General features: G+C 35.1%; 1 pseudogene; it reads left to right on the forward strand.

Annotated features, from left to right (window-relative positions):
• PES1P1 (pescadillo ribosomal biogenesis factor 1 pseudogene 1) lies at positions 4,617-6,614 on the forward strand (annotated as a pseudogene).

Here is a 12,622-nt window from a genome sequence, read left to right on the forward strand (position 1 = left end):
CATCTTTTCCTACAACATAACAAAAGCACAGGGAATCATGCTGTATTTTATTGACATTGTAAATAGTGATTTTTAAAGATTTCTGGCTTCATGATTTCCTCTTTCCTGTTGCTTTCCACAAGTTTCAGGAATAAAGTAAGAATATATACAGTCAAATATTTATTCCTTCCACACCCTGGACCATACAATATGTCTTCAATGTTATCCTACAAAACACTGTGTTAGACTGTGAACAGAGATGACAGCCTAAAACGAAACAAACAACCCCCACCCCCCAAAAAACAAATATACCTAAAGCAAGGATTTATAAAGTCATTGCAAAAAGAGTCCAAAATTGCCATTATTGGATAATATGGGAGTCTGGTGCATGGATTTTAAAGCAATATACAGACATTCACTACATCTGTCTTCAAATGTGCATAGTTTTTCTTTAGTTGTGACAGCAGTCACTTGATATTGATGAACTCTGAATGATGCCCAAATACAGAAAGATGCTCTTAAATGTGGCCAACTGAAGACAAAGTATCATGGTCACTATGGTGCTTATTATAATATTTGCTTTACCTATATATTTTAGTACAAACAGAAAATATCAGAACATGAAATGTTTTCTATGCCATGCTAGAATTTAAGTTTCACATATGTACAAACTGTTGTTTAGCTCACCAATGTATTTAGCTCACCAATATATCCCAAGGATATAGCCTGACATGTAACAGGTGTTAAATTAGTGACTGGATGAATATATGATGAGATAGATTCTGGTTATTTTCTGTACTGCTGAAGTGTTAGGGGTTCTTTTCTCCTTGAGTTCTTCAAATTATTTGCTGTTCTGTATATTTTGTCATAAACATAACAGAGGTCAGCTTAAAATATCTATTGAGATGTATTTTATAGGTATTAAGAGGAGCAGGACAAATACTTGAGGAAACTTTGCAGCACAGGACGGGAGTCTGAACAGCTATCAGAGTATAATTTTAGGTAGAATGCAAATCAGTAATGCTGTGGTCGGGGCCTGCTCTTGCTTTTAGGTTTTCCTGTAATGCTAATCATTCACATTCAGAGTCCTCTTCAAGAAGAGTGAATTCTCTGTGTCAATTTTAGACAACCAGAGAGGCTTAAAAGAAAAATGATTGACTCTTTATCCTTTCTTTATTCCAAGAATGCATTGTTCCTTTTATTTTACTGTCCATTATCCTTAACATATTCAGCATTAGAATTTCAGTTACGAATCTCCAGTGTGTATTTTAAAAATTCAAATAACTGATACTTTGATCAAATCTTCAACTTGTATATCAGAGCATTAAGGATGTTAGCTGAAGTCTGTTCTCTCTCTAACCTCATACAATACACACACAGATGCACACACACACACATATAAATATATATAAATGTAAAAAATCTCATATATAAATATATAAAATAGGTGTGTGTATATACATAAATATATAAAATGTGTGTATATGTAAATATATAAAACGTGTGTATATATATAAATATATAAAATGTGTGTCTGTGTGCTTAACACTTTAGGAAAAAACATAATGCTCTCTTTTCAAAAGGAGACTCAGATTTTTAAATACAAATTCCATTCCTTTGAAGAAGGGTCAATTGTATTTCCTATTTAAAATTTAAAGTGAAATCACCTATTAAGAAGAAAAATACTTTTTCTTCAAATAAAATACAGTTCTTACTAAAATATTCTTGATGAAATCTAAATGAATAAAACTGTAAATGAACCAATTACCTTGTTCTTTTATTAAAGATTAGTAGACGTCCCAGGGAGCATTAAGCTTAAATTTGAACAAATTATTGAAACTTGACCAGCAATTTGAATGGAAACTGTATGTGTGGAAAATTATACAATGTAAAAAGCTAGTATTTTTTGTACTTTTTGGGAAACTATGTGGCAGTTTTTATTACATATATTTTTGCATTATTACCCTGCAACAAGTCAGAGGGATATAATGCTTCATGGAGGGTGATGACACTGTGAGACAGCAGTCATAAATAACAGAAGTGAAAGCACACTTTCGACTTTTGAATAAAATGTCTTTCCACTGATTCTGAGTAAGCATCAAAGCTCTGCTTTGAGAAATCCTATCTTTGAACTACTCTATATGGAGTAGAGTAAATATGGCCTTATCTGGGTTCAGTTTTCAAATAAAAGTCAAAATAAAAATGAAATCATCCATGCATTTCTAAATCAAGTTATGTAATATTGTCCCCTCACCTTTCTTCCTTTGCATCAATGTACCATGAATTGAAGGTTATTTTTGTTGTCATAAAGTCATATTTATGAAATGCAAAATACCAAAGAAGGAACTCCATAAGGTGGGCTAAAGCTTATTTTAAAAACACAGCAAATAAAAATAAACACCAAAACTTTATATTTTAATTTTCTTTGTCAAAAATTCAGACATGCTAAAATAGTACTTTAACATTCTCTAATTGTTTTTATATAGACTTTTTGATAATTACTTATCTGTGGAAAGTTTTAGAAGGAACCATAGTTTCACAATTGTATGGATAATTTTGTTCACACTGCTAATCCTTCTCCATTAATTATTGTTGTATATTTCAATTTTTGCTATTTCTTGAAGCTAGAGTTTTCAAACTCCTCTCATGCATATGAAAACCTACTTAATTTGAGATCAGTGTATACGACTACTTATTAAGTATCTACAACTTGGATTCCTTAAAGGAACCCAAAACCCAACTACATATCTGGGCTCATTATCTTTTCAATCAAACCAATCTTTGTTCTGTCATCTATTCAGATATTAAAGCCAAAATTTAAAAAGTTGCAGGCAATCCTTGCCAAATTCTCTTTCCTTGATAGCCCCATATTTAGTCTCATAACAAGTCCTGCCAATATTACCAATGTATTTAAGAACTTCTCTCCATCTCCATTCTTACTACTTATATCCAAACTATCATCCCATTTTTTTTCTGTATTGATGCAACATCCTCCTACATTCCTACATTTGTTTTTACCCTTTTCAGCTTCTTTTATATATTACAGCTGGAGTTATATTTCCAAAATGACAACCCGAACATGTCCCCTCAGTGTATAAAAACGTTAAACTGATCTCAATGCTATTAGCATAACACCCCCAAATTTTTACATACAAGGTTTTGCACAATATGGTAACTGACAAATTATGTCTCCTTGTTATAGGTTACTATAATGCTCCAATTTTTCTTCTTAAAATATATGGACATTTACACATACATACCTATGTTTTTATTTGTCTCTCATCTCTTACACTTAAGATTATGAGGACAGAGAGTTTGCAGTTCTGACCCTAGCCTGCTTTCTCCAGCTTCTAGTCCAATTGGTTCTGAACGAATAAATGAATTTCAAAAACACAGAGGAGAAAATTACCAGGCTATGCATAAAGGAAAAAGTAAAAATAAGATAGCAATGGTTAATTTTGACAGCCTTAACTAAGAAAATGAATAAAATAATTTGACAACTGAACAAAAGTAACTTGGCAATGAGAAATTCATTTATTCATTTACCCTTGAACTCAAAATAAATTTCCTGAGAGTAGATAGTGTTTTGGAAACTCAGTTGCCAAAAAACAACTCATTCAATAGAGTAGCATATAAACTTATAAATATATCATTGAATTGAAGTGAGAGATGTTTTAATGGAGAAATTCAGAAGAAACATTGAAAGCATAAATGAGAATAAGGGAATCCTACATAGGATTTGAGAAATGTTTAAGAATTTGACCATATAAATTTTTCTAGTTAATACTGTATAAAAAAATCCTGAATGTTTGGTATAGGAAATAAATATTTATAAGTAGAGAAATGATTCAATAAAGTATGCTCTGGTCATAGTAAGAAATACTCTGGAACCATTATACACAGCAAGGTAGATGGGTAGTACTGACCTGGAAATATATCAATGGCATTTTGCTTAACAAAAAAGAGAAAGTTGCAAAATAAAATATATGAGCATATGTGTGCAGAAATCGTGTGAATGCAATTTAAATGGTCTAAAAGGTAAACATTACATGGCAAATGAGATGTCTGAAGGGAACTTTCTAATTATTGCATGCTATATATTATTTTCTTGTTTGTGTTTCAGTATATGCATTGTTTTTGCTTTTGTATTTGCGAAATAATTGTTCTAAAAATAAGTTAAAGGTGCTCACCTATTGGGTTGGATATAAAGGGAAGAGTTCATCATTTGTAGATTTGACTTTTGCCCACATTTGTTCTGTACTGTCCTATGGCTGTTTAGTTATCTCTTTATGTGCCCAGTGGGATAGAAAACAAAAACAAAAACAAAAACTGCTTGCAGTTTCAGAAAGACCATGATACTGAATAACACGTTGTTTGAACTTTATAGGAATGAGACCATTAAATAATTTTTTTCAATAAAGTAATAGTTACTTGAACCATAATAGAGTAGCCTATAGGTCATTAAAAGGCAATGTAAACATTTTTTGTAATACATTTTTATCCCCGAAGTTGAAATATATATTTAAATGTTAAAACTGAAGACTGAATGTTACGAAATTAATTAATATAAAGTTTGGTTTATATTTAGAGAGTAAAAGATTTTTACCAGAGGACAAATACAGACTCGCGGAGGAAGTGGCACTGTCAGTTCGCGGAGGAAGTGGCACTGTCAGTCCGCGGCACTCGTGGGCTCCTCAACATGGAGCTACAGGAGGCCTTGAGAAGCAGCAGCAGGAACGAGGCTCGCCAGCCAACCACAACACCAAAAGCAAAGCCCGAAAGAAGCTCCCCCTGACCATGGCTGACTCGAGGCGGCCGTGCACCCTGATGGGCATTTATCCCCATGAACCCAAACACGAGAAGAAGGTTAATAAAGGTGCTACTGCGGCCCAAACTTCTTACCTCATGGAAGATATCAGGTTTCTCATCCAAGAATTCATCGTCAACAAGGTCCGAGAATGCAAGGTGTCTGTCCGGAAGCCCCGGGAGGCCTATGAGAAGAGCGAGCGGAACACCGTGGAACATCTAAAGGACAATAAGGCCGACTACAAACATGACCACATCATCAAGGAATGGTACCCCACATTCATCGACGCCCGGGGGGACCTGGGCGGCTCCGCCTTCTCCACGTGCTTCCTCTTTTCCACCTTCCCCCGGACTGACAAGTGCCATGTGCAGATCGTTCCGCTGTGCTGCAGGCTCGCAGCGGAGTTCACGTATTACATCATCGCTGCCTGTGCCCCGAGCAAGGTCTTCCTGTCCATCAAACGCATTTACTACCAGGCTGAGGTGCTGGCACAGCCCATCGTGTGGATCACCCCCTGTGCTTTCTCCCACGACCACCGGACAGACGTGGACTACAGAGTCATGGCCACCTTCACCTAATTCTACAGCACCCTACTGGGCTTCATTGATGAACTTCAGCCTCTGCCAGTCGCTCAACGTTCACTATCCCCTCAAGCTGAGGGTCAGGCCCAAGCAGAGGGGAAAGCCAGTGAGGGCACCTACGCGCTGGACTCAGAGAGCCCAGTGGAGAAACTGGAGGCCCTCAGTGCCAGCCTGGCCCGCGCGGTGGTGCCTATCACAGAGGAAGAGGCCGAGGTGGATGAGTTTCCCGCCAATGGGGAGTTGGCGGTGCAGGAGGAGGACCACAGGAAGGAGCTGGAGGCGCAGGAGAAGCACAAGAAGCTTTTTGAGGGCTTGAAGTTCTTCGTTAACTGACAGGTGTCCCCTGAAGCCCTAGCCTTCGTCATCAGGAGTTTTGCGGGGGGGGACATATCCTGGGAAAAGCCTTTGTGCATGGGTCCCACCTATGCAGCACCCACCAGATTGTCGACTGGCCTGGGCAGCAGACCTCAGTTATTGGCAGACACTACGTGGAGCCCCAGTGGTTGTTTGACTCCGTGAACGCTAGACTGCACTTCCCTGGAGCAGAGTACTTCCCTGCAATGCAGCTACCCCTACATTCTTCACCCTTTGTGACTGAGGAGGAAGGAGATTACATCCCATCTGAGAAGCTGAAGCTTCTGGCTCTGCAGCGGGGAGAGGACCCAGGAAACTTGAATGAGTCAGAAGAGGAGGAGGAGGAAGACAACCAAGGTGATGGTGATGAAGGGGGAGAAAATGAAGGGGAGAGTGGTTCGGAAACGGAGGAAAAGGCCTGGCTGGCAGCACCGGAGGAGCAGAGAACGGAGGGGAAGAAGCCCAGGGTGATAGCAGGACACGAGAAGCTGGAGAAGCAGCAGCAGCTGGCCCAGGAGGAGGAGAGCGAGGCCAGGCGCCTGGCCACTATGATGATGAAGAAGCCGGAGAAGTACCTGTACCAGAAGATCATGTTTGACAAAAGGCGAAAAAGCCAAGAGGCCAAAAAGCTACCAGAGTAGCAGAAAGCCCATGATGAGGCAGTGAGATCTGAGAAGGCCGAAAAATCAAGGCCGATTTGAGTGCCAGTGGCCCCTCAGAGGGCCGAGGCCAGCTCCCCAGCAGCCGGATGTGGCAGAGGCAGGCCAGAGCACCGAAGTGTGGTGACAGATCAGAGTCGCTTCTTTTCTCCTCTTCCTTCCTCCAGCCAGGCCTGGCCCCTCATGCTCCTTGGCTAGCCTGGCGGGGAGCTCTGGCTTCCTTTGGATGGAGCTCCCCTGCTGGTGCCTGGGTGGAGAAGAGGCCTCTGTGCCCAGCCTGATTCTGTGCTCCCAGAAGCCAGTGACACGAGGTGCAGGTGCCTGACCAGGCCCTCACATGCTGTCCCCATTCATCCTGGCTTTCCACGGCTCCCTCCCACACAGTGTGTCCCATGATTCTCAGGCTGTGATGGGTTAAGGGTGTGGGTAGCAATTGTTATTAAACGACTGGACTTTTGCAGCCAATTGTGAAGAAAAGGAATAGATTCACTAAAAGTAAGTCATTTAATGTATTCACCCAATTAATTTAATTAATTCATTTCCCTGTTATTGAAGTATAACAAACCTGTAGCATATTGTACCTTTTTAAAGAATAGAGTACAATAAAAGTTTAAAAAATCTAAGGACTTATATAACCATGATGGAGGTTAAGGTAAAAAAAAAATCTATATTAGATGAATAGGAAAAAATATTATGTGTGTGTGTATGTGAGTCCATTGGGTGCAATAGTAAGATAACTAAATTTTACCTTAGCCCCCAAATAGTTGATTTTCTATCTGTCAAACTCTGTAGCGAACTCAAAAAAGTTATTAAATATATTATTTAAATATGTTGGAAGAAATTGTCTGGACATACAAATTTGCATGGCGAATGGAGTAGCCATGTGAAATTTTTGGACTAAAATGTATGTATATACATTTGTTTAACAAATTTAAATTTTAAATTAAAATACAAGCAATGCATATTTGTAGTTTGTAATAAAAATACAAAAATATTAGGTATGGTGATGAAGTATATTTAAAATATTAAAAAATAGGAAATATTTAGTAAAAAACTAGCTTGTCTTGGCACATATACCCACCAAAACAATCATTTTTGAAATGCATAAATTACTAAGGTAATCCCAAAAGTGCATTTAGAATCTAAAGAATAAATTAGATAAAAATAAATACATTTAAAAAAATAAGCTTGTCTTTGAATTGACAGTGTTGTAAAGACCAAATGATTTTAAAAAATAAGACATTATGAATATTACAAGGATATAAGTTTGACATAATTATTAATTTTATGGCTATATCAAAACTATGCAAAAGCTATGCAAGTTATAAAAGTAAAACAAATATTTTCATAGGTACAAATAAAATAATCAAACCTGGACTAACCTAAATATTCTCAAAGCAAATATTTTAATTAGTTGTTCAGAACTATACAATTAGTTGTGTTGTTAATAATTTACTTAATTATGTAATTTATCATTGGAAAATGGTGAGTCATGCTGTCCATATGATGTTTTGGCCAGTGATTGACTGCATAGGTGACAATGGTCCTATAAGATTATAATGGAGCTGAAAAATCCCTCTTGCCTAGTGACGATATAATTGTCAGATTGCTGTAGCAGAAACTCATGTGCTTGTGGTGATACTGGTGTAAACAAACCTACTGCCCTGCCAGTCATATAAAAGTATAACACATACAATAAGGCACAGTACATAATACTTGATAATGAAAATAAATGGCTATGTTACTGGCTTATGGACTTACTATACTATGATTTTTATTGTTATTTTAGAGTATACTCCTATTTATTTAAAAAAATTAACTATAGAATAGCCTCAGACAAGTTTTTCAGGAGGTCTTTCAGAAGAAGGCATTGTTGTCATAGAAAACGATAGCTCCATGTATGTTGCTGCCCCTGAAGAACTTCCACTGAGAGAAGATGAGGAGAGGGAAGACAGTGACATTGATAACCCTGGCCCTATGTGGGCCTAGACTAATGTGAATGTGTGTTAATTTTTAACAGGAAAGTTTAAGAAGTAAACAAAAAAAAAATCAAAAAATAGGAAAATGTTTATAAAATAAGGAAATACAGGAAAAATAATTGTATAGCTGTACAACATATTTGCGTTTTAAGCTAAGCGTTGTTGTAAAAAAGGCAAAAAAAATTAAATACTTTATAAAGAAGTTACAGAAGCTAAGTTTAATTTATTATTAAACAAAGAAAATGTTTTTTGAATAAATTTAGTGTAGCCTCTGGTCAGGGTTTATAAATTCTACAGTAGTGGAAAGTAATGTCCTAGGTCTTCACATGCACTCACCACTCACTCACTGACTCACCCAGACAACTTCTAATACTACAGTTCTCATCCATTATAAGTGCCCTATACACATGTACCATTTTTTATCTTTTATATTGTATTTTTACTGTACCTCTTCTATGCTTAGATATGTTTAGATTCACAAATCCCATGCCATACAGGTTTGTAGCTGGGAGCAACAGGCCATACCACACAGCCTAGTTGTGTAGTAGGCTATATCATCTAGGTTTGTATAAGTGCACTCCATGATGTCTGCATAAGCAAGGACGTCATCCAAGGATTCATTCCTCCGAAATTATCTCTGTCATTAAGTTACCCATGAGTGTACTTGTATGTGAGTGCATGTGTATGGTGTGTGTGTGTGTGCATATATATATATGCATATGTATATATATATGCATATGTATATATATAATTACCATACACTGATAATGTAATTTCGAATTTCTAATAAGAAATCTATGAACTCTAATACTGCTTGCTTTCACCTTATCCTTTCATTTGTTTTTACCTTCAAGCTAATAACTGAATTTATTCTCCTTACTTTTTTTTCTTTGAAGATTAAAGGCATGCCTAGCTTTGTACTGCAGTTGCCTGGACAGTTGACAGCCTATTTAACTGAAGTCATACAAGCTGTACATTTTAACCCCTGGATTCCAAAGTGCAATCAAAATGACTTTTTTATATGTAAGAGCAGTGCACTTCTGAAATATTTGTAGATGGATACATAACAGTTTCATAAAACTCTCTTGGCCTTTTGCCTTTTAAAAAAACATTGAAGTCAACTAAGCTGATTAAAGAATTTTTAAGTTGGGAATTCTGGAGAGATTTTAGTGCATATAAAACATGTAATTCTGGTTTATTATTAACTCTAAATTAACTTTAAGAGTATATATATAGTAACTGAATAATCCTGTATTGACTATAGGATTGCCTAGTAATGGTTGAAAGCAATCACATCAAAGAGGTAACAAATTTTAAAAATAAGTAAATAAAAACCTGGAGATAATCTAGTCTAATCACATTATGTTATCATTACTGTTATCCTCGTTCCTAACTCGTGACATTTAATTATCTTTTTTATTATACATTAGAGAAAATAATGGCATAATTATATGCATAATTTAAGTATGCTTTATACCATATTTTACCTATTAGGGAAGGTATTTTTCTACTCCGTATCCCAAATTCTTCACAGAAACTTACAGGTCAAGCCCCTTAACATGTAAAAACAAAAATGCCCTAATGTTGTAGGACAAGAGGTTTGCTTCCTGGTGTCTCTGTCCTACTCCCTTTAGCAATGCTTTAGCTGGAAATCAAATCAGCAATAGAAAAAAGTCAAATGTGCATAATTCTGAGGTGTTCCTAAAGTAAGGATAGATTATTTTTTTTAGCATGGAGTTAGCTTTTATTCTCTAATTATCTTCACATATAGCAATTATAAACCAGTGAAGAACTAACAAATTAAACCTTTCCCAGAAGTATTCTGAAATTTGTATTTTTCCCAATCCATGATTCTCCCTAAAGTAAGGACAGATTTTTAAATGGAAACTTTTTTTTAACACCTCTTTAACAAGAAATCCCTATTTTAAAGATGGCCAAAGTGTACATCCTAAACAAGAGCTCGCGCAGATCACTGTGTATAACAGTGATGGATGCTGGTTGTTATATGGTCAGATTGCTTATTCAGATCTGAGCAAAACAGCAGTATATTCTACCTCTCCTCCACTTAGAGTCTCTAAAGTAAGAATAAATTGCATTGCCCTTGATGTGCATATTTTTCACTTAGAAGCAGCCTGCATCAATTCAAAAGTGTTAAGTTTTCATGTTTTGGCAATACATAGATAAAAATTTAAATAAATGGATAAAAGAAGCTGTTTGTTTTTTACTTAAATGGAGAAGTGCTAAGGAAACAAGTAAATTTGACATGAATAGCAACACTTGTAAACACATATTTAACAAGACTAAATTGTAATAGCATACTTTTCAAAGCAAGGGAAAACACAAATTATTTTTTAGTGCTCAAAGTAAATTGAGGACTTAAGAAAATGAGCTAAATATTATGCAGAGAATGATCAAAGCAGAACATATTTCTATTTTCATTTTTATTCATTTAATTAATCAAAGAGCAATGATATGAAACTATTGAACACTAACTGGAATTTAGTGTATGTTAATTGTCACATGTTATTCCTGGCTAAGAAATTTCATTCAGAGAGAAAATATGTTTTTCATTTTGAAAAGGCGGTCACATTTTTTGACTCTATCAATGTATTGACATTGATATGTAGTTTCACATCAATTCACTGTATTAAGCTCCATTTATAAATATTTTCTGAGTTGTTACTTTGTGCAAGTCATAATGTTCAGAAAATTAACTACTAAAATAGGTCTTCTCATTTACTTGCTTCTGTTACAAAATTAGGTAGCAATTGCAATTAATGTTAAGCATACTTGGCAGTCCACTTTTGTGTGCAAATTGCCACAAATCTTATTCTCCCTGCAGCTTCCTTAGATTATAAAATAACCTAGATTTTTTCAAAACAAATATAAAAATTTGCCATGATCACATTTTATCTATTAAAAGTAAAACTAGGTTTTAAAAATTGCATTGAATATCCCAAGATATTATTTTTTCCAAATTACACATGGGAGGATTTCAAACAGTTTCTTACCTTTTCGATGATTAACTAATATGTTACTAATTGATCATAATCATTTCTAGATATCTAACCAAGTGCCCCAGTTCAACAACTCATTATTTTACTCTTTCATTTTGATATTATTTGGTACAACTACATAACGCTGCTGAATGGAATATACTTATTAGCATGCAACTTTATGACTGTAATTTTGTTTCTGTTTTCTTGTGATAGTCGCAGAACTCTATGATTACATTAAAAATCACTAAATTGTACATTTTAAAAGTGAATTTTATGGTATGTGAATTTTATTTCAATAACATATTGAAAAATATGTTATTAAATAATATATAAATATATATTGTATATTGAATCTTTTTTCTATATATATTCATATCCACTTTATTATTTTGTTTCTTTAAACAAAATATCAGGTTTTCTACTTGTCTTTTAGATAAAATCCAAATTTTTCATTCTGTTATTTAATGCCCTTCCCCTTAAAACCAATGTAATCCCCAAATGTAAATTTTTTTACTGTCCAATATGGTCTTTTCATTTTTCTACAAGCATCACATGCTATTTCCCAACATCTTCCCGATTGAGGCATACTAGTTTTTTATGATAATCTCTTAATTATCAAAGCAGCAGGCACTTTTTTTTTAAAATTTATTAAATGACTCAAGTAGCAATGATCTGAAACTATTGTATGTCAAGTAGAATTTAGTGTATATTGCCACCTTATTTTATTTTTGGCTCTGAAATTTCATTCAGAGAGTTTTTTTTTTGGTTGAATAATTTTAAAAGGCAGTCAGTGTTTTGGCTTCATCATTACATTGATATTCATATGTAATTTTTTCCATTCATTCTATTAAGCTGAAATTATAAATATTTACCAAATATTTAAAGGTTATAGAAGCCTACAGTTATTTTGCTTTAATTTCATCTCAACCATAGATTTATCTGTGCCAATTTATTTTGATAAAGTATTATTTATCAAATATTGTTTAAAAGTTAAGAGAAATAAGTATAAATAATTAATTTTTTTCTTTTAAAAATTATTATTTAGTTGTTTGTGGATGGTAAGTAGTCTAGCTCCAGACCAAAAACTGTGTGTGTATGTGCGTGGATGTGTGTGTGCATGTGTGTATGTGTGTGTGCATGTGTTTTCAAGCCCCTCTATAGGCAGTTGCAAAAGCTTTACATGGCAGGCCTTCTCTAGGGAAAGCTGCTACCTGCCCACCAGACATGGTACACAGCCATTTAGTGCAGTCTCTGAAGAAAGTTG

Source organism: Homo sapiens, chromosome 4, assembly GCF_000001405.40.
Source record: "Homo sapiens chromosome 4, GRCh38.p14 Primary Assembly".
Taxonomy (NCBI): Eukaryota; Metazoa; Chordata; class Mammalia; order Primates; family Hominidae; genus Homo; species Homo sapiens.